This window comes from Homo sapiens, chromosome 13, assembly GCF_000001405.40.
Source record: "Homo sapiens chromosome 13, GRCh38.p14 Primary Assembly".
NCBI lineage: Eukaryota > Metazoa > Chordata > Mammalia > Primates > Hominidae > Homo > Homo sapiens.
In genome coordinates this window covers 39,697,513-39,722,295 of record NC_000013.11, presented here as the reverse complement: position 1 = coordinate 39,722,295, position 24,783 = coordinate 39,697,513, and the positions used below count along the sequence as shown (strand labels likewise).

The following is a 24,783-nucleotide window of genomic DNA, read 5'->3' as shown; positions in this document are numbered from 1 at the left end:
GAAGTACAATTAGAGCCCTTACTTGCTGGATTTACTAGAAACCAAAGAAAAACAAAGTGCGCAAAGGTAAACACTCAATGAAGGTGAAAAAGAGTTACTGCAAAGCATCAAATCAGCGGTCTGAAAGAAAAATGGAAGGAAAGTAATACAGAGCAAATATCAAAGAAATAGATTAAAGTGAAGAGATTTAAAAAGAAATTAGATGGCAGATCCGTGAGATAAAACCAACCAAGGACAGGGGCTTCAAAATATAAAAAGTAACACATAGAAAAGTGATGATTAAAGAAATAGAACTCTTTACTAAGCAAAAGAAAGGTTTGAATCTTTACATTGAAATGGTTCTCCAAAGTCCAAGATGCAAATAATTTTTAAAAAGAGACATACCAAAAATATCCTGGGAAAACATATAAACTCAATGGAAAATCCCTGTAAGTTACCAGATGAAGGGACTAGATTACTAAAAACAAGAGAATCTGACTAGCCTGGACTTCTTGCTTGAAACACTGGAAGAAGCTATATAAGAGTGGGAAAAAAATAATAGGTTATTGGTAGTAAAGGTCCTAAAATCAAGACTCCTTTACCCAACAAGGTAAATTGTTACTTTGGAGAAACGTGATAAACCACACCTTCACATATCCACACCTTTGTATTGTCCTCTATCACACCGAATCCAGGCTGTTCTATGTGGCCAGTCTTGGCTGACAGCACTCTGACAAGCATAATGCAAGAATAGGCCAATAAGCACTTCCACACTGGGATTTGTCCACTTGGAATACCCACTCAAGGGACTGCCAGTGGGGTCTGAAAGGGCACTGGGAAAATTGCTACTGGAGTCTGGAGAAAGGGGAACCTGAATTATCTGCTGACAGAACAATTACTGAAAATGCTGCCAGGACTAATAAAGATCTGGCTCAAGAGATTTCTGGAGAATGTTAAAACACATGTAAAAGTCCAGTTGACACATCCAATGGTGGCAAAAATAAGCAAGGACATAGATAACTTGAATAAACTAATAAGCTTAATTTAGCACATAGACCAAGAAGAATTTTTACCATGCGTAAAATAGCTATGGAACACATAAGAAACATAGATAATTGGTAATAAAGCAAATTGATAAACACCTGACATATCTTAACATCTTAAGATTTAGATAAATGGCAGGGATTTGGGCTTGAATTAGTGACAAATACATAAAAAAGTGACATTTCTTAAATAAAAATGTTATTAATTCCACAGAAAATGAAGAAGTTATCCAAGAAAGGTAAATTAACCATTCTTCATTACATGGCTCAGTCACCAATAATGTTTACATAGTAATAATAATTTAACAAAACATTGATCTAACCAAAATTTATAATATAGCTACATTGGGAGGATGGGAAAACTCTTAAGTATGACCATATTCTTATCCAGGGGGGTTGGGGGAGTGGCAGTAGATAACTAAATTTTCATTGTTCATTTCATTTCACAATGTATTAGAATATATCTAATTTAATACATTAGACAAAAAACTAAAAAAAATCTATAAGTAGCAATACACGTAAGTGTTTAGAATTACAAATATAAATACCAAAAGAAGCAACTATAAAAACTGAAAGAAATTGTGCTTTTGAGGGAGAAATGAGAAAGAGATGTTGGGGGTGGAGAGGATGGTACACTGGTGGCTTTTCGTAACAAGTTCTGTAGAATTATTTGACTTTAAACCACAAATATGGAAAATTCTGATACATTTATTTTAAAAGAAAAAATTAAAAATTAGAAAATATGAATTTAGATATATCAAAACTCATTCCTATACCCACTGTCAAACTGTTGATATATGTGTGATAGCACAGAACATTCAGAGTTGTTTTTTTAAAAAACAGTATATTTACCAATAATCACTGCTTAAAACTGGAATCCAACTATCTACTAAATTTTACAACTGGCTTTGTTTTAGTCATCATATACTCTCTTAAGTGATAACCATTTGCTTTATAGGACTCAAGAACTCAAGTGGTTGGTATAGCAATTTGTAATGTTTTGCCTAACACTGGTTTACACATAGATAAAAATATATCTGTCCTCTGTAACACATTTTGCATTAACTATGCAGCTTGAAAAATATAGCATATTATTCACAGTTCAGAAACTAAAATCCACATACAGACTAACTGTTCAAATTAATCAGAAAGCTTCAATCTACTATCACATATTATGGTATGAATCAAGTATTTTAAACATTACACATTCTGGTTCCTCTAAAGCTGAAAACTGAAATACTGAATTTGTGTGTGTGTGTGTGTGTGTGTGTGTGTGTGTTGTGTATGTGCGTGTGTTGTGTATATGCATGTGTGTCCTTTCATCAGATGATATCAAGGGATCTATAGGAATTAGGTCATTAAAACTAGTTAAGCCAATAACTTAAAGCTATCACATAGAGAAAAAGATTCAATCATAGTCAATAGTCATTTTATAGAAAAATTTACCTGAAACTGTAGCATTTCCAGACGTCTGTCAGTGAATTCAAATAGAGCTAATGTTGTCTTCATCATATATAGTGAATTGACCATGAAAGTGGCCATGTCAGCTGTGCCTAAATTGCTGGCTGATACAGTACACATCTGTAGGAGAGGATCCAAGACACATGATAAAACCTACAAATGAAAAATAAAATGAACTCTTTATTTCTCAATCACTGATAGGGTCTTGGGTTAATGATATTTAATGCCAAACTAATTGGAAGGAAGCCAATTTATAGAAGCACGTAGGAAAAGATTAAACATAAATCAATGCTTTTTAAGTTATGATAACTGGTTTAATATTTGATGGAAAATTAACAGTAAGAAAGAGACTGTCAAAGTATATGAATTACAAAATTCCAGAATTGAAACACAGTGTACAATAGAAGAGCAAAAAACAATCATTAAAAATGAATTTATAACATACCTGCACAAAATCAGCTTGACGAGCATCTAATGGTACAACTGAAGAATCGTGAGATGCTAAAACTTCACGCAGCAACATGAGTGTCTGATTTAGTGCAGAACTTGGTCCAAGATCAGGTGGTGGGAGTTCAACCTAAAACAAGAGATGATTTACCCACTCCTTATATTTTTTCCACTAAATTTTAATGTATAAATGTAAGTTCATAGTAAAAAAAAATGTAAAAGTTATAAAGCACAGACTCACACATTAGAAACCTATAATTTATCAATAGCTTACTTTGAACTATATTAACAGCACACAAAGTGAGAGAAAAGTTCTTTGTCAGATTATCTCAGAATATGTCACCTTGTACTCTAAAATTCAAAAAATTAATTTGAAAAGTTAGTGTTCAATTGAATTGTAGAATTACATTTTAATATGGATTTAAAATGGCCTACTGTTTTATTTTTTAGCCCAAATCATAAGAAAAAAGCAGTCTATAGACCAGCACTATTCCAACTATAATATAATTGAGAAACGTCACCTACTCTCAGGCCCAAATTTCAGAGATTTTAGTTCAATATGTATAGGTTAGGGGTTCAGGAATTGACAGTTCAACAAGCACCCCAGGAGTCTCTCAAGAAGGTAACCCATGGGTCCCACATTTTGAAAATCACTTCACAGAAACAGTATAACATTACCATTAATATATTGGGCTCTAGAGTTAAACACATTAAGTTCAAATCTTGGATCTATCACTTACTAGTTGTGTAATCTTCAGCAAGTTACTTAAGTTTTCAGAGCTTCAGAGGGACTCTGTAAATATTAAATGAGATTGTTGCATGGCTGAGTAACATGCCTTGCACTTACTAAGTAGAAGGTATGCCAAGTTCACTATCCTTATTTGGTGGCACCATGATACATAAAAAGAAGTGCCTATGAATTTCTTTAAAAATATTTTCAGAATACTTACAATGTTAATAAAGTAACATTTTGTAAATTTTTTAAAAATAGCACTTAGAAGACAATGTAAGAGACTACATCTTAGTGGCAGGTAGGCAGAAAGGTGTAAGAATTTTCAAATATCGGCATTTATTATAAGATGGTTTCATGTAGAAAGTTAATACATAAGTGACATCACCAGGAATAGCAAAGTAAGCATGTCCAAAAATACTCTCTCCTTCATAAAAACAACAAGAACAAAAAAATCATAAAACATGCAAGCAAACAAGAAAATATAGTCCATGCACAGCATGCACAGAAAAACACCTCAACAGAAACATTCTCTGAAGTCCAGATGTTAGATTTACTAGACAAAGACTTTAAACAAGCTATTTTAGATACGTTCAAAGACTGAAGAAAATCATGTCTGAAGAACTAAAGTATGAAAACAATGTCTCACCAAATAAAGAATATCAATAAAGAGACAGGAATAATAAAATACAACCAAAGAGAAATTCTGGAGTCAAAAAGTACACAACTGAAATGAAAAATTAACTATAGGGTTTTGTTTTTGTTTTTGTTTTTTGTTTTTGACAGGGTCTTTCTCTGTCACTCAGGATAAAGTGCAGTGGTGCAATCACAGCTCACTGCATGCTCGAGTGATCATCCCACCTCAGTTTCCCAAGTATTAACAGCTAGGACTACAGGCACATGCCACCAAGCCTCGCTAATTTTCTTTTTTGTAGAGATGGTAGTCTTGCTATGTTGCCCAGGCTGGTCTCAAACTCCTGGGCTCAAGTGATCCTCCTGCCTTAGCCTCCCAAAATGCTATCATTACAGGTGTGAACTGCTGTGCTTGGCCTTACAGCAGATTTGAGCAGGTGGAATAAATAATCAGCGAACTTAAAGACAGGAACTTAAAGATTATTGAGTCTGAGAAATAGAAAGAAAAAGAATTGAAAAAATGAACAGAACATCAGAGATAAGACACCATTTAACAATATAAGTATAAAGGGGAAGCCCAGAAGGAAAGAACAAAGAAAAAAAGGCAGTGAAGAAACAATGACAGAAAGATTACCAATTTTGACTTTAAAAAACATTAATCAACATCCAAGAAGCTAACTGACCCCCAAGAAAGATAAACTCAAGAGACCTACAGTAACACACATCATAATCAAACTGTCAAAAGACAGATAATCCTGAAAGCAACTAAAAAGAAATAACTCACTATGAACAAGGATTTTTGACAAGATCAATAGCTGATTTCTTACCAGAAAACATGCAGGCCAGAAGTCTGCATATTGGATGACATAGTCACAGGCTGAAATAAACTGTCAACCAAGTATTTCAAATTCAGCAAAACTATTCTTCAAGAGTAAGGGGGAAATTAAGACACTCCAAATAAAGGCAAAAATTCTTCACTAGCATACCTGCCCTACAAGACATACTAAGGAAAACTGGACACTAGAAAGTAACTCGATCCACATAAAGAAATAGAGCACTGGTCAAGACTCCAACAAAGATAACTATAAAAGACAGTTTTAATGTATTTTTTGTTCATAACTCTAATTTAAAAGAAAACTGCATGAGGCAATAATTATAAGTCTATGTTGATGGGCATACAATGTAATAAGATTTAACTGTATTAATAACGGCATAAAGGAAGAGGAGAATGGAGCTATGTAGGAGCAAAGTTTTTGTATACTATTCAAAGTATGTTGTTATAAATTAAGATGCTAATTGTAATTCCCAGGGCACCACTCAGGAAATATAACTAACCCTATACCCACATACATATATGTTTAAATAAGGGAATTAAATTAGTAGACTAGAAAGTATCTACTCAGTGTAAAAGAAGTAACAGGGACACAGAGAAAAAAAAATCACTTAAGACATACAGAAAACAAAAGGGCAAATTGCAGACATAAATCCTACTCTACCCTCAATTAAATTAAGTGTAAATGGATTAAACATGACAATCAAAAAGCAGAGACTAGCAGATTAATTTGAAAAACCACACCATGTACCAACTATATGCCAACTTCAAGAGACACACTTTTAAGACAAAAATAAATTAGATGTACAAGGATATAAAAAGATATACGTTGCAAACAATAACTGAAAGAAAGCTAGATTAAATTAGCTACACTAATATACTAATATCAGACAAAACAGACTTTAAAACAAAATTACTAGAAATAAAAGATTCTGATAATGATAAAAGGGTCAATCCATCAAGAAAATAAAATAATTATAAACATATATGCACCCAACAAAAAAGCCCCAAAACACATAAAGCCAAAACTTACAAAATTGAAGGAAAATATTTCTTGGGTGAAGAGATACATATTTCAAGTTCCACAGTTTCTTCAGTTTTGTCTCCTTTTCTTTCATTAGATTCAAATAAATGTGAACTTAAAAAAAACCTCCAGAATATGATCTTTTCTTCACAAAAGTATTCTATTTATCATTCCTACTTCAAATGATATCCAGACTGTTGTTAAACTGATTATAATAAAGTTAACTAATGTTATTTCCAAGAAGAGGGTTTTTTAAAAATTTTCATCTTTGTGCTCTTCTCCATGGTTTAAATTATGTATAAATATATGCATATCAGTTTTACAAAATTAATAGAGTGATCTCTGCCCCCTAAAAGAAACAACCAACTACCAAGCAGTTAATAACAGTCAATTCAGGGTGACAGGATGTAGATGAGTGTTATTTTCTTGTGTTTCCATTTGTTTTTAAAAATAAATATACATTTAATAGAAATCAACATACTCATAATTCCAAAAATTTAAATATAAAGCTATTCCATATATGTGCATGCATATACATAAGAAATATAAACTGAAGATACTCAAATTTTTTTCAGTGGAATCTTTAGCTTAGAACAAATCAGAAAGATCTGCTAGCATTCTAATAGCTATAATATAGAAATAGACAGCTATAGAAACCAGAGCAAACACGTTATGTGTCAGTTCCCAATACCTTTCATAAACAGAAAAAAAAATCTAATAAATCCTCCAGGGAAGCTAGATGAGGAGTACAGCTCTAGTAGAACTACAAACCTTGTATGATTAAGAACCTAAATGTTTAATGTGTAATTTTCTCTTCTAGGTTATAAACTATAATATATAGTATGTGTGTGTTTGTGTGTGTGTGTGTGTGTATAGAGAGAGAGAGAGAGGAGTATATAGTGTCTTTTGGAAGCAATAAATCTTTAAAAATTTTTTTTTAAATTTTAACAGCTTTTGGTGTACAAGTGGTTTCTAGTTACATGGATGATTGTACTGTGGCGAAGTCTGAGATTTTAGTGCACCCATCATCCAAGTAGTGTATATCGTGCCCAATATGTAATTTTTCATCCCTCACTCCTCATCCTCTCCCCCTTCTGAGTCTCCATAGTACATTATATCACTCTGTGTGCCTTTGTGTACCCATAGCTTAGCTCCCACTTACAAGTAAGAACATACAGTTTTTGGCTTCCTATTCCTGAGTTGCTTCACTTAGAATAATGGCCTCCTGCTCCATTCAAGTTGTTGCAATTTCTTTATCGACTGATTAGTTGATGGGCACTTAGGCTGGTTCCATATCTTTACAACTGCAACCGTGCTGCAATAAACACATGTGTGCAAGTGTCTTTTTGATATAATGACTACTATTCCTTTGGGTAGATACCCAGTAGTGGGATTGCTGGATTGAATGGTAGATCTTTTAGTTCTTTAAGAAATCTTCCTACTGTTTTCCATAGAGGTTGTACTAATTTACATTCCCACCAGCAGTATATAAGCATTCCCTTTCACCATATCCACATCAATATGGTTTTTTTTTTCACTTTTTAATAATGGCCATTCTTACAAGAGTAAGGTGGTGTCTCACTGTGGTTTTAATTTGCATTTCCTTGATTAGTGATGTTGAGCATTTTTCATATGTTTGTTAGCCATCTGTATATCTTCTTTTGAGAAATGGCTGTTCATCTCATTTGCCCACTTTTTGATGGGATTATTTGTTTTTTTCTTGCTGATTTGTTTGTGTTCCTTCTATTCTGGATATCAGTCCTTTTTCAGATACGTAGTTTGCAAATATTTTCTCTGTGGGTTGTGTGTTTCCTCTGATGGTTATTTCTTTGGCTATACAGAAGCATTTTAGTTTAATTAGATCCCATTTATTTATTTTTATTTTTGTTGCACTTGGAAGCAATAAATCTTAAAAAAAAAAACTTTCAAAAATTAACACAAGAGATTTTTAATTGCCAAACAAAACAGAAGACCAATGATGTAAAACTTACACACTGATGGGAGAAAGTTGAAAGGAAATTTTTTTCCCCCTTGAAATAAGGTCTTTAAGGAGTTTAAATTTAAGGCTAAAGTCACACTTTGCCACAGTTAGAGTTGATGGTAAATCATTGCAAGTGAGTGCTACTTGAACTCAAGTCATTCAACAAACTGCCATTCTATGAGGTGTTTTTACACACATCCATTAGATCGGCAACAAGGTAAGAACCACACTTCTAAAGCTAAGTGAAAATTATGGCAGTTTTTCAGATAAACAAACTTTGTGACTATAAAATCCTGTAGCAGAATAACAGAAAGAAAATCTAAGGAGGAGAAATAGCTCACTTTTGTCACTTTAGTTTCATTTTGTAAAATTCATTTCTAATGGTTAAACTTTGTAAGAGACAAGTCTATATTTCTTTTTCTTTTTTTTTGAGATGGAGTCTCACTCTGTTGCCTAGGCTGGAGTGCAGTGGCATGATCTCGGCTCACTGCAAGCTCCACCTCCCAGGTTCATGCCATTCTCCTGCCTTGGCCTCCCGAGTAGCTGGGACTACAGGCGCCTGCCACCATGCCCGGCTAATTTTTTTGTATTTTTAGTAGAGACGGGGTTTCACCTTGTTAGCCAGGATGGTTTTGATCTCTTGACCTCGTGATCCACCCGCCTTGACCTCCCAAAGTCCTGGGATTACAGGCGTGAGCCACCGCACCTGGCCAAGTCTATATTTCTTTTGAAGTCCCTCCAATGCATTCTTGCACTTACTTTATACTAACCATAATCTCCCTTAGGGAAGAGACCCTCTTTACTATGTCTTTCATATCTCCATATAAGGCTGTGGAGGCCAAATACTAGAATTAAGTGGGCTTTGTTATTTAGAGAGCCTAAAACAGGTAGTAGCAACCATTAGAAACAAACAATTTATGAACTTCATGTAAAACAATAATCATAATACAGAAATTCCTATAAGCTTTAAGCTGTGTAGAAAATCCAAGTTTATTCACACTCCACTTCCTTGGAAACCAGTCAGCATCAGTAAGTGAGTGGCAGATGCATCCTCAGAATGATGTGACTGGGAGAAAGAGGTGTTAATATTATCACTGCTACTTATGCCAGGACTTGAGCTATTCATAGAAATCTTACATACTGACAGAAAGTTGAAGAAAATGTGAACTTTTGCCTTACAAATAAAGATTTCCCTCTTTCTTATTCTGTATGTTTGACTTTTCCCTCTATTTTTGTCATGATCTTAAACTCTCAAAAATCTTAACTAGAGTTGTAACCTGACGTTGGCCACATGACACTTCGCTGAGTATCTACAGCAGGCATGCAAGTACTTGCTCGGGCAGGTAAGCTTTGTTGCAAACATGGCCACATTACTTCCAAATACCTATACCATGGTTATGTTCCACTAACCTAAGTAGGTTCATGTGAATGAATGGATACAAAATAACTGGTTATATTCAAAGCATACTCCCTTAGGGACAATAAGCAAACATCTTTGCTTGTTTTTAAATCCAAAGTACAAGGCTACTAAAATGACATGTGAGAACGTCTACTTCAAACAGATTAGACTCCTTATTTCAGGCACATATCTTCTTAACTGCTCTATCTTTCACAATGTTTTAAGCATAATGGATATCAATAAAAACTGTTGACTATGGTCACTTACATTCAATTTATGTTCCTGCAGCATAGTTACAACATAAAACATATACATATACCACTACATATTTAATCAATTGTTTTGAAATACCAAGGGACTAAACAGTAAGTCATTTCTTAATAAGCCTCTGGACAACAGACATGTTCCAACAGTATTATGAGGGAATATTTTGGCATTATAAATGCTATTTAATAGGGAAAATGAACTAAAATAATTCATCTAAAACTGGCTTCTACGTGGAAGAATGGGATCCATAAGTACAGTATTAAAGATGTTTCCAAAAAAAAGAATTAAGATTTTATTAAGCCCCAATAATATGTTAAATGAAAAATGCAAGATACACATCAGGGCTGGGCATGGTGACTCACGCCTGTAGTCTCAGCACTGGGAGGCCGAGGCGGGCAGATCGCCTGAGGTCAGGAGTTCGAGACCAACCTGGCCAATATGGCGAAACCCCGTCTCTACTAAAAATACAAAAATTAGCTGGGCATGGTGGCGCATACCTGTAATCGTAGCCACTCGGGAGGCTGAAGCTGGAGAATCGCTTGAACCCAGGAGGTGGAGGTTGTAGTGAGGTGAGATTGCACCACTGTACTCCAGCCTGGGCCACAGAGCGAGACTCAATCTCAAAAACAAAAACAAAGACAAAACTGTATGCACATCATGTGTACAGGTGTGTGTACACTCATATTTTTAAAAGACTGAAATATTAAAAATGCTGAATGTTACCTATAGTCATGTTTAAACTTTCTTTATATTTCTATCTTCAAAATGAGTATTTTGTAATGTGAAAAAATAATCTAAAAACTGTACCATGTATTTTACATGTGATCTTCATTTAATCCTAATGAGCCTAAGGTATATATCATTCCCATTTTACAGAAGATGAGTAAGACTGATGAGAAGGAGGAGGAAGGAATAATATCAAATTTTATATATGAGGAAACTAAAGTAGGGACAGATTAAATAACCTTCCAAAGGTCCCACTGTTCTTAGAAGGGGCAGAGCTTAGACTCTCACCCAAGCATTGACTCCAAAGGTCACGCTTATAACCACTACACCGAAGTGTTAATTTTGATTTTCATAGGTGATATTTTTACTTGAATTCTATAAAGTTAATTTTTTCAGAGAGGATGCTGTAGCTCTTAGATTCTTCTGTAGGGAATCTATGATAAGGTGCTATTAACAGCTGTTTCTTAAGATCGTGACCACATTGAAGTCTATGAGCACTAATGGCCCCAGTATCTTACAACCTATTTGAGGCCTTCTTCAAGTTTACATAACGCATCCTTTCTTCCTAAATGTTTTGCTACATTGAAATTTTGCTAGCTAATTTTATATCCTTGTGACTCATATGCTTTAAACTTTTCAAACCGGTGATTCTTACATGTTACAGGTGGAGGAGGAAGGCAGACTTCTTTAAGAATATCATTGAGTTTACCATTTGTTTCTCAAAAAAAAAAGATAAACATGGAAAATTACAGAAACAATTATAGATTAATAGAAGCCCACTCATGGGCTCCAATGTAATCTTAAACAAAAGTAAAATTAGATATGCTGTTTTATAAGTTAATATTTTTTAAAAGACAGAAATTAGCATTATATGGTAAAGTTAAAATTTTTCTTTCGTCAAAAACAAAAGCTAATGTCAAAAAAAAAAAGAAAAGAACCAGCTAATGTCTTCACTGCCCTATTTAAAAAAGAAAAATCTTCTAAAGAACTTAGAGTTTGTATGAAATACAAAAGGGAGTAGGAACAATAGTTATCACTTTTTATTTTACAAACATTAAATGGGGGTATTTAAGCATTAATGATATCCAATTAATCAGATCAACAACCGAAAAGTATTTGTTGATTTTTTTCTTTTCTTCATTTCCCTCATTTAATTTACTGAATTATCTCTAAACCATTAAAATATATTCCAAATGCAAATGATCCAAATCATCCTATGCTACTACTCTATAGTAGGCCACTTTTGCCAGGTTTACTTACTCTAAGAGTCTCCTAAGTGGTCTCCTTTCTTCCAAATTTGCTCCTCCATACCCACTTTCCATTCTCCATACAGCAGTCCCAATGATATTTTTAAAATGCTTTCAAAAATGAAGATGTGAGACCAAATCTTCAATGGCTTACTCTTGCACTCAAAAACAAACTGCCTTAAAGGTATGTGGAAACAGAATCAACGATCAAAATCAACTCTATACTAGAAATACATATGTGTAAAATAAAATTTAAAGAGAAAAATAAGTTTCAAAAGCATCAAAAAAACCACTCAATATCTGGGAATAAATCTAACCAAAGATGTGCAAGGCCTGAACACTATGAAAGGTTAGTGAGAGAAACTAAAGACCTAAGTAAATGGAGAGATATATGATATTCATAAATTGGAAATCTTGGTATCATTAAGATATTAATTTCTCCTCAACTGATCTATAGATTTAATCAAAGCCTCAGAAAGCTTTTTTATTTTAAAAATGCACAAGTTGATTCTAAATAAAATGAAATCAATGGAATAAATAAATAATCTAAAATAAATCAATGGAATACACAATTACCAAACAAATCCACATACATGGTCATGTAATTTATGACCATTTCCACTTCACTGCAGTGGGAATGGATGGCCTTTACAATAAATGGTGCTGGATCAAGTGTATATCCACATGAAAATATGCACAATAGCGAAGATACGGAATCAACCTAAGTGCCCATCAACAGATGACTGGATAAAGAAAATGTGGTGTGTGTGTACATATAACACATATATATTTGTGGACACACACATATATGTGTTACATATCACATATACACACACACCACACATATACACACACACATATATATACACATACACTCACACCATGGAATACTATTCAGCCATGAAAAAGAATGAAATCATTTCTTTTGCAACAACATGAGTGGAACTTCAGGCCATAATCTTAGGTGAAATAAACAAAGTCAAATATTGCATGTTCTTATAAGTGGGAGCTAAATAATGTGTACACATGGACACAGAGTAGAATAATAGACAATGGAGACTCAGACAGGTTGGGAGGGTGGGAGGGGAATGGGGGATGAGAAATTACCTACTGGGTGCAATATACAGTACTCAGGTGATGATTACACTAAAAGCCCAGACTTCACCATTACATAATATATAAATGTAACATGACTGCATTAGTATCTCATAAATTTATAAAAATTAAAAATAAATAAAAGGAAAATGTTAAAAGGAACTATTATGTATGGAACATCCACCAGGAAGTAGGCACAGGCTTAGCAATTAGGCAGACCTGGATATATATTCACCCTTAGTGACTATGTGACCTAGGGCAGGTTAATCTACGTTGACTGTGCCGTAATTCTTTGTTTTACATTTAGTAAAAACTCAATTACATAGTGACAACTTACTGAAAGTCATAATGATTGGAAAAGTTAGAATTTGAGTACAGCTCTATCAGACTCCAAAGCCCAGGATTTCTCCTTGAGCCATATATTGCCTTTCTAATGCGGAGCCCCATCAATTGCTCACCCGAGATAAGTATCCCCAACAAACTCAGACTGAATCTTTAATTTAAGAAAGGCTATACCTGCATCGCAGCACAAAAACCACCTGCAACTACACTACTGGTACTAAGACAACCAATTATTAAATATCAACTTAACTGGAAAAAAACATAAAAGTCTCAGGTAACCTAAGAAATACATATGTAGCTAAGGACAAAGATGACTGAGAAGATTAGCTTCTAAGGCTCTTCTAGTTTTTCAATCTATCAAACATCTGTTGAAGACCTACTATGAGAACATGGTATTAGGTATTGTTATATTTTACCAGACATTACGACACGGATCAAGGCCAAAGGCAAGAAAAATTGAAAGCAAGGAAAATAAAGTAATTTAAACAACACACACACACACAAATTAAACTTGACCCCTACCTTCATACCATACTCAAAAATTTGAGATGGATTGAAGGCCTAAATGTGGAAGCTAAAATAATCAAGCTTCTTAGAGAAAAATACAGAAGAATGTCCTCATGACCTTGAGATAGCCAAAGATTTCTTAAACAGGACACAAAAGGAACTAATCATGAAATAAAAGCTTGTTATACAAGACTGAATTAAAAATTGAGAATTTCTGTTAATCTAATACATGACTAAGAGAGTGAAAAGACAGTTCAAAAAGTGATAGAAAATATCTGTGATGCTTATTATTCCATAAAGGACTTGTATCCAAACACATGTTTGAAAACTCTTATAAGTCAATAAGAAAAAGGTAACAACCCAGTAAGGACTCTCTGCAACAGTCTTTAAAAGACAACTTCAAAAGAAAGTACATCCAGCAGCCAATAAACATGAAAAATTGTTCATCACCATTAATCTTGAGAAAAATGCAAACTACAAGCAAATGAAATACCACCACACACTTTCTACAATGCCTAAAATTAAAAAGACTAACAACATCACGTACTGGAGAGAATGTGGAACAACTGAAACTCCCACATTTCTGGTGAAGTGATCTAGGACAATTACTTTGGAAAAATACTTAGCAATATCTAGTAAAGCTAATCAATCTTATAATCCAGATATTCCATTTCTGGGCATACATACAAGAGAAATAAAAACTTATGTCCACCAACACATGTATAAGACTATTAATAATAGCTTTATTTACAATATCCAAGAACTAGAAACATCCCAAATGTCCATCAGTAACAGAATGAGTAAATTGTGGTGAATATATATAATGAAATTACTACACAACAATTAAAAAATGAACTACTGAACATGCAAAATATATGAATCTTACAGATATGTTAAGTCAGGGCCAAAAAAGTATACACTGTATGAATCTATTTACATGAAGTTAATAGCAGGCAAAACAAGAGACAGTAGTCAGACAGCAGTTTACACCGGGGTTAGATATTGACTGGGAAGGGGAAAGAGGATGCCTTCTGAAGGGCTAGAAATGTTTTATATCTTATCTGGGTGATAGCTAATGAGCATATGCAAATACAAACATTCAACTAACTGTATACTTTAGACTTGGGTACTATATCTGCAGTTAAAAATAAAGCTTGGCTGGGTGCAGTGGCTCATGCCTGTAATCCCAGCACTTTGGAAGGCTGAGGCGGGCGGATCATGAGGTCAAGAGATAGAGACCATCCTGGCCAACATGGTGAAACCCCGTCTCTACTAAAAATACAAAAATTAGCTGGGTGTGGTGGTGCATGCCTGTAGTCCCAGCTACTCAGGAGGCTGAGGCAGGAGAATCACTTGAACCCGGGAGGCAGAAGCTGCAGTGAGCAGAGAGATTGTGCATTACACTCCAGCCTGGTGACAGAGCGAGACTCTGTCTCAAAAAAAAAAAAAAGTGAGCTCATTTGTTCTTCTTCTTCTTTATATTATTGTACATACTAAACATCAAGTCATTATTATTAAATACTTATTTCAAAATTTGAATATTTTCTAAGTGACAAAGTTGAAGTATACAGAAAAATTTCACATTTAAAAGCATTTAAAGGCCAGGCATGGTGGCTCATGCCTGTAATATCAGCACTTTGGGAGGCTGAGGTGGGTGGATTGCTTGAGACCAGGAAATCAAGGCCAGTCTGGCCAACATGGTGAAACCCTGTCTCTACTAAAAATACAAAAATTAGTTGGAGATGGTGGCGGATGCCTGTAACCCCAGCTACTCGGGAGGCTGAGGCAGGAGAATCGCTTGAACCCAGGAGGAGGAGGTTGCAGTGAGCCGAGATCACACCACTGAACTCCAGCCTGGACGACAGAGACAGACTCTGACCCAATCAATTAATCAATCAATAATTTTTTTAAAAAAAGCATTTAAGCTATTGAAAACTTCATATTCCATATATTAGAACCTCTCTTTTTTTAAATGTGTAGAGCTATACACAAAAGTCCTCATTGTTCTTGTGACTATTTACTTTTTATCCCTTCTGTAGTTTAGGTGCTCTGACTTTTACTAGAGAAAAATAAAAAGGTTGCACCATAAAAATTCCAAAAGCTGTTCCTACAACTTCATCCCACTACCAACTTTAGTTTTATTCTTTCAGCTATCTTCCATTTAAGGTCCTATAATTTTCTGTTGTGTAGCTTCTTAGAAGGCCCTTCGCCCATTTGCTTTCAAAAAATAAAGACTAGCCAACCAAACACAAAGTTCTCATATTTTTAAACTAATTTCCTCATTCTCTCTCTATATATATTTAAATATATATATATATATATATATAAAGGAGTATATATATATATAAAGGAGTATATATATATATAAAGGAGTATATATATAAAAGAAGTGTGTGTGTATATACATATATATAAATATATACATTCCTTTTGCTCTAAATACATACATTCTAGTAATTGACAATATGTGGAATTTAAGTTTTTAAGTCAATAAAATTGTCCAAGATAAATTTAGGACTGCAAACTAACATGTTTGAAATAATTTCAAATTACAACTTATTTTACACACTTTTATTTTTTTAAATATTAAAGCATTTCAGATAAAAAAAATTTGGTTTTCTGTTTGTTTTTCCTGGCAGAATCATCTGTAAGGAATAATGTAAAACTCAAACTATTCAACCAGAACAGCACCTCTCAAACTATAATGAGCACATGAACCTCCTGGGAATCTTATTAAAATGCATAATTCAATTCAGTAGGTCTGGAGCAGGACCTGAGATATCTGCATGTCTAGTAAGTTCCCATATGATGCCCAAGCTGCTAATCCACATACTATGCTATGAGTAGTAAAAAGAGATTCAAAGCAGTAACCATATCCTAGAATTTAAATGACAATTTATTTAAAGAATCATTTGGGGTTTGTTTTTTTTTCTCCAGAGGACTGGGCAAATCAATCCTGACTACTATTAACTTGATATGGGTTTCATTTAAGACAGGCTATATCCTTGCAATTAGAACTGCACTATTACTATAGTGAGAAATAATTTTAGAAAATGTCAGTCTAGCCTAAATTGACACAACATTGTGTCTTTTGCAGTATAGATGCATATTCTCTTTAAACTTCACTAGATTTGCAGTTATGAATATTTCAGGAGAGCTTGATAAGGAAGGGAGTATGCCTACTTGAATACTCAAGTGCTTCAAACTGCTTTGTTAGGGAAAAGGTACATCTTTCAATAAAATTATGTCCTTGAATTTCCTTTTTCTCACGCTAGATAAAGAATTAGCTCCCAAGTATGTCTTTTTAAAAGCACAAAAGCAATCATATTTTTAAAAATTCCTCTCTGGCTATACCTTTATTTTAAAAGCTATTCTTTCCAACAATTATACTATTCACTTAAAATTCTATTAACAAAAATTTCCACTTGGGTGCTTTGCTAATGAAGAACATGCTACAATAAATATTGTTTTCTTCATAAAGCTACAGTGTTTTTAGAGGAAGTGAAATCATTTACAAGAAGCAGAATAAGTAAAAGATATAACTAATATAAAATTATGGAACATTAAAATTTGATGAAAGGAAGATATTCTTGCAAAAAACCTGAAATGGTTGTAGATACAAGCAACATATGAGTTGTAAAGAGAATCATAACACGGTCGCAATCTAATGTAAAAATAACTCTAAATATGGCCCAGTTCATATCTGAGAAAAACATCCAGGGTTCAATTAGTAATAATGACAACAAAAACAACAACAATAATGATCAGAGCCCATTCACTGCTATAAACTCATATAAGCTGCAATATTGATTGGTAATTAATAAATTCAGATTACAATTACTTTCTTTCCTCATTTTCATCCTATTCTGTTCAAAGTTTTAATTGGAAGATGTCATCCTTCAGTTGCCTTTTACTATCCATTACAGATGACCCTTAAACAACACATGTTTAAACCACAAAGGTCCACATTTACATAGATTGTCTTCTCCCTCTGCTACTCTCTGAGACAGCAAGACCAGTCTCTCTTCTTCCTCCTCCTCAGCCTACTCAATGTGAAGACAATGAGGATAAAGACCTTTATGATGATTCACTTCCATTTAATGAATAGTAGATATATTTTCTCTCCCTTATGATTTTCTTAATAACATTTTCCTTTCACTAGCTTACTTTATTGTAAGAATACAGTGTATAATACATACAACAAAAAATGAGTTGACTGCTTATGTTATTAGCAAGGCATCCAGTCAATAGCTAATTAGCAGTTAGATTTTGAGAGTCGAAAGTCACACGCAGATTTTTTCAACTTCACAGGGGTCAGCATCATAACTCCCATGTTGTTCAGGAGTCAACTGTATGTTTTCCTGTTTTGTTGCAACTTTCATTTTAACTTTTACATGACTAATAAAATATATAGAAACTTACTATTAGGGGAATAAAATAAAATAAATGGATAACCACTTGGGAAAGAATAAGATACTAAGTTTTCAGTCTGAACAATAATAAACTTCAGTAGATTAAAAATTTGTTGCAAAAGTGAAACCAGGGCTAGGGCCAGGTGTGATGGCTCACACCTGTAATTCCTGCACTTTGGGAGGCTGAGGCAGGAGGATCACCTGAGGCCAGTAGTTTGAGACAAGCCTGGGCAACATAGTGAGACCATGTCTCTACAGAAAAAAAAAAAAATTTAAATTAGCTGGGCATGGTGGCATGCACCTATAGTCCCAGCTACTTGGAAGGCTGAGGCAGAAGGATGGCTTGAGCTTCAAGGCTGCAGTGAGCTACGATCCTGGGCAACAACAGTAAGACCCTGTTGCTTAAAAAAATAAATAAAGTGAAAACATAGAAACACCTAAGAAAATACATCTAAATAAATGTATTAAACAATCTATCATTTCCCCACTAATAGATGCTATCTTTATTATATATTAAATTCTAAATGTTTTTTCTTGTGGGAATACTTTCAAGCATGGAATGCTCCCAAGGGAAAAAAACTATAAAAAAAGTTCTATTGAACTATAAAAAAATTAAAAGTTGATGTGTCAGAAAATACTACAGGCAAATTTTAAAGGCAAATGATAACGTGGAGAAAATGTCTGTAATATATATGATGGAGTTAATATTCTTAATGCATAAAGAATATCAGAAATGAACAAGACAACCCAATAGGAAAATGGCAAAGGACTTGAACAAGCAATTCACAAACAGCCAAAAACATATCTTAAAATGTTCATTCTCACTAGAATCACAGAAATCCAAATGAGAAAAACAACAAAATGTCGCTTTTGCTCGTCATGTTGGTAAAGATTTTTTTTTAATGTCCATTATCCAGTTTTAGCAAGAGTTGGCACTTTTTCAGTAGGAGGTAGTATGGTAGATTTGAGGAAATGGGTGAAAATAAGTGAGGTAAATGTGAGTGGCTGCCAAAGGACAATCAGTATTTGCTGGACCTCCTGGGGGGCTTTCCTGATGTTGGAGACAATTTTTAGTGATTCCTGTCTGTATGATGTAATTTTCTTTAGCAGAGCTCAGGAAAAATTGAAAAATTGAATTAACTCAAGGTGGTTTTGCAAAGTGAATGTGGTAAAATGGCAAGGGTGCAAGAGATTTAAAGCTAATGGCAAGATAGTGATGGAATATAGGCCAGCAGAAAATGAACTGAACCATTCATGTTACCAGTATTTATTGAGCACCTCATGAGCTGGTATATAAGAAAATTAATTACATTTGTATATTGATCTTTTCACCAACGACTTCACTAGAATTCATTTTCTGGTTGTATAGCTTTTTAGTTGATTCTCCTAGGTCTTCAAAATAGACTATCATAACATCCATAAATAATCTAATGTCTCCTCCTTTAAAATATTTACAATTCATTTCTTTATCTCATCTTTCTACCGTGGTTATTATTTAAAAGTATTGGCAAGCATTCTTGTTCTTCACTTAAATAGAAGAACCACTAGTGTGTCAATATTAATTATGATGTTGGCTGTTAGTTTTATCTCTCTTTATATGGTTAAGGAAGTATTCATCAATGACTTGTTTTAATATTAAGATTTTCCCCAATGTGATCAAATATGAGAATATAAAATTTATTTTATATACTCATTTAGTATATTTCCTAACACTGAAACATTCTTATATTCATGTAATAAACCATTCTTGGTTTTAATATATAAATGCTGAATTTTGAAGTTTTAAAACTTAAAAAGTGACTAATCTATGGTTTCCACTACTGACTATCTTTAAAAGGTTTTATGTCGGTGTTATACTACCTAAAACAAACTGGGAAGCTTTCCATATTTTTTCATGTTCTGGAGAATTATCTGTTCCTCCTAAGGATGAATGAAGTTCTCTATATAATCTGAACTAGGCCTGGCAACACGTTCTTTAATAACTTTTCTTCCTTCCTTAGGTATATTCACACTTTCCACTTCCTTTTGACTCACATTTTACCAATTTATGTCACCTTAAAAAGCATTCATCTTATTCTGATTTTCAGATGATTAGCACAAAACTGCACATGGTACTCTCTAAGTTTTAATTCTCATCTGTGGATTGTCTCTAATTTCTAAAAACTTCTAATTTTCTTTTTTTCTTGATTAGACTTGCTAGAAGTTTGTCAATTTTGTTTATCTTTTCAACAAATAATTCTGCTTTTGTTTTCTAATTTGTCACGGAAATTTAATTCCATCCTTTCCATATATCTTCATTTTATTGCTCTGTTTCAAATTTTTTAATACAAACGCCTAATGCATCTATTTTCAGTCTTGAGGCCCATATGTTTTCTAATTGGTAAAGCTTTGGGTAATATGCTTACCCATGAACTTTTCTACGTACTACAACCTGGCTCCTATCTCCACCACAGGACTAAAATTGCCCATTTAGGTCACCTATCACATATATATTGCCAAAGATAACAAGCCTCCTACTTGAACTCTTTAAAAGCATCTGTCATTATTAACCATGCCCTCCTTCTAGAAACTGTCTTCTCTTGGCTTTTCTGATAAAACCTTATCCTAATTTTTGTCCTGCCTCTCTGGCCATCCTCTCTCAGCATCATACTGTTGACGTTTTTCCTTCTCTTAAACGTCAGTGTTTCCCAAGACTGTGTCCTGGTAGCTCTACTCATAAAAAAAATTATTCCTAGTGACTTCATCCAAACCCATGAATTCAACTATCTCTTATATGTAAAACTCTCTAAATCCAAATGTATCACTCCCTTTTAGATTAGACCAATTCCAGAGGGATCTCTCATAGGCACCTCAAACTCAACTTATCTAACTTAGATGATACCATCTTTATCTCCCAAATTGTACCCTCTTTCTGCATTCTAGATATTTGTGATTAGCCTAGGAATTATTCTAGATGACTCCCTCTCACTAACCCACATTCAGTCATCAAGTTTTGAAGATTTTACCTTTACCCTTCATGAATCTGTCCCCTCTTGCCTATTCCCAGAGTCTTTCCCTTAGATCATGTATGAATAAAAACAGTTTCAATACTCCTTTAATTTTCCTATTTCCAACCTAGCCTCCCCACTTATATATATAAAACACATCACTTTACAAGTGATATTTTTTAATAAATGAAAAATTCTTTTATAGGTAACTCATACTCATGTTCTAGCATATTCTATTTCTTTCTTCTATTTAAGATGACCTCTATGCACTCCTTTCCTCACCTATCTAAAGCCTACCTGTTCTTCAAAGTTCAACTCCATTACATCTCTCTATGGAAAGCTTCCTCTCTGTAAAGGAGTACAGATAAGTTTGCTAAATATACTCCTCCTTTGGTGCTAGCATATACCCTAGGCACATGTCTTTCATAAATCATAGAATTCTATAATAACCAGACTTATTTGGTCATTTTCCACTAAAGGAAAAGCAACCTTAATGAGGCCAACAGATGTTGAGTGTTCATCCTTGTACTCTCAACAGCTAGCACATATTTGTTCATGTTTAATGTTTGTGTATCATGTATAAATTATTTTAGAAGAGTTCTGTCTAAATAAGAACTCATAATAACAAATATAACCAGAAATGATTGTTAGTAAACTGTTGATGCAAACAGAAATACACAAGGCAAGAAAAATAAAGGTAGATATTCCAGCTCCACAAATTCATGTTGCTTTTCCAAATGAATCTGAGTCATGCATGTGGGTCAGGAAGTAGACTCCTATTAAGGCTTAGGAAAGTGAAGACTGAACTTAGGAAAGTGAAGATTGACCACGTATTCTGGACTAAATTGCTACTGACTATTTTATACCATATTACAAAATCTGGGCCTAATATAGCTAGCCTATTAGATAGAGTAGTACAATTAAAAAGCCAGCATGGTGATTGTGACACATCCTTGAAAAACTCATGTTCTCAATAATGAAACAAAAATAAAGAAGGATTTGATCATTGTAAGTCTATTCCTTAAGGTCCTGCCAAAATACCCTGCTCAATTTAAGATATTAGATCTTACAGGACTCTTTGAGGATTTTGTTGTTTGTTTTTTTGTGGGATGTTTTTCCTTGTTTGTTTTCATAAATAATTATATAACTCAGAGGAGCATACATTTCATAAGGACAAAACTGTAACAACAGGGGTAAAAATATAAGCTGTTTGGAAAAAATATTTTGTAAGAGTTCTGGTTTTCCAATCTGTATGTCATCTTAGCCCCCAGCTAAATACAGTAAGTTTGCTTTAATTATACAACTTCTGTGATAGAAAAAAATGGTAGTAAAATTGGAGCCTGAGATGCCATCTCCAATTATAACTCAATGTTATACTGTTTCAGGAACAAAGACTATCAACTTAGGTCCAGTAAGCCATCTCAAAATGAAAGTTGTTGGTGACAGGAAGAACTCAAAAGAACACAGAATGTAATGGGAAAAGTTATCAATCAATACAAAAATCACTAAAACATCTTTAATGTGAAACATTCACATAATTTAATAATTACATTTTTCAAACATACCTTGTCCATTAATTTACTTGCATGAAGACTCAAGCTATTGAAGAATATTTTTTTGCTTAGCAAATGCATTTCTTCAATGGTAGTCAATAATGCAGTTGCACTATTTCCAACAATACCACTAAAAGCAAAGAATATTTCAGGTTGCAAAACAGAAACTGAAACAAAACAGTTCCTTAACTGAGTAGAATGCTTTAAAAGGATCTAGATTTAAATAAAAGTTTTTATGTAAAATATAACCTGTGAATTAAAAATACTCTAGTTTCATATTTTAAAAATCAGGATTTTTGTTTTTCTTTTGAGTTAGGTGATGAAAAAATAAAAACAAACTACTATGTTTTCAATATTTCACAATCTCTTTTAGCAAAACCGTGGGTCAGAACAGATATTTGTGATATATAAAACCCTATCTCTATTTTTCCTCTATTAGAGTAAATATATATCTCAATTATCTAAGACAGTTAATTTTAATTTTAAGAAGAGCACTGAATCAACAGCTCTATTGATAAAATATTTAAATTGTATAAATACTGAGTTATTCTTTTAATTAAAACTGTTATACTATATCAATAACACACCTATAAATCAGTTTCTCAATTTTTATACAGCTGCCTACAGAGCAGTATATTTAGACTAATTGAAAAGTCTGATAGCATTTTGAAATGGCTAATTACATTAGTACATTCCATAATCCTCAATTTGCTATTGTATAAGGCTATTTCTTAGACCCATTCAAGGAGGTTTCCCATTTTTGCCAAGATCTAAGACAAGTATGTATATAAAACAATTCCCATTTTTTTCCTCCTAATTCACATACTAAAAGTGATTTTAACAACCTTCTAGGGGAAAAGTTTCATGTGGTTATGAAAATATGCTGTAATCCAGTAAGGAATTATAATTTCTAAAGGCATAACAACATCTTCCATGCCTAAAAAATTTTAGATTGTTAAAGATGAATATAATGGCATTAAATACTACTAAACAGTAAGCTAAAACACAGCAAGTTTACTGATAAATCATATACCACATGTATTATAAAAGCAAATACTAATATTTGCAAATGTAATATTTCAGTACAATTCCGAAACCAAAATAAATTAGGTAAATTCTTACATAGTTCATGAAAACAATGTAAATTATTAGTAAAGTGCATATATATATAGCAAACAGCAAAATACTAGCAAATTACTAAACCAGTAGCCATAATACTTATATTTTAAAGAAACAATAAGTATTTTAGTTAAAAATATTGTATGCCAAATACTAAAATAAACTGGATAGAATTCCCACACATGCCTGCACATGCAATGAAAACAAGTATTTCTCTGAATAAAAGTGTACATCAAGCAACAGAGGAAGCAAATTAAATGAAAACAAATGGAAACAATTTAATGAAAAATTTGGAGAGAACTCAACATACATTTACATTCATTTTTTTTTTTAATATGGAGTTATCAGCTGTACTTTGCAGTTATTCAGATCTAGAATTTACTAACGTTTATTGAACACTCATTATGTTCCAGTAACTGGTACAGATAATTGTAGATGTTTCTTCTGACATTTCATTCCATATTTCTATCCAACATGCCTATACTCCCATTACTTGATTTTTCAGTTTTAGGTATTATCTACAAATTCCCTGATGTAGAAGATGAGAGTTAAACTCTCTTATACAGTTCTCCTCCTCCACCACAACACACCCAAACTTCACCTTCCCCAGGCTTCCTAATATAGCCATGGGCACAGAGTTCTGGTAAATAACTATTCAATATTTACATCATTACACTCATGTAAATACTATTCAGAGCTGACCAAAGAATCAGGGATACCCAAAACAAGCCAGTGAACAGGCTAGTGAAGAAGATAAATCCCAGTGTGACAGCCAAGCAGCTTGCAGTAGGCCTAAAGGGCAACACATCTAGACTGGAGGGGAATGAGGGCTCCAAGAAGGGTATCAGATAGGGGCAGGAGAGAGGCGGATTACTTGTTGGACTACATGGTGAGACAATGCAATGTTGAGTTCTCTTAAATAGCTTGGATCCAAAATAGTGATAAGGGCATAGGAAAGTAAACAAGTACAAAAGCCAAGTGTTTATTAATTCCAGGGAG

General features: G+C 33.6%; 1 protein-coding gene across 4 annotated transcripts in view; it reads right to left on the bottom strand.

The window, feature by feature from the left end:
• The window catches only part of COG6 (component of oligomeric golgi complex 6), a 136,040-nt gene that overhangs the window by 69,371 nt on the left and 41,886 nt on the right, over positions 1-24,783 (bottom strand). For all 4 annotated transcript variants that reach the window (NR_026745.1, NM_001145079.2, XM_011535168.2 and 1 more), the window contains 3 exons: positions 22,678-22,795; positions 2,929-3,060; positions 2,469-2,636 (listed from right to left, as the gene is read on the bottom strand). Coding sequence is in view for 3 of the 4 variants with exons in the window: in NM_001145079.2 (NP_001138551.1) it covers positions 2,469-2,636; positions 2,929-3,060; positions 22,678-22,795 (418 nt within the window). In the remaining variant the exon portion in view is untranslated. The remainder of the gene's footprint in view (positions 1-2,468; positions 2,637-2,928; positions 3,061-22,677; positions 22,796-24,783) is intronic.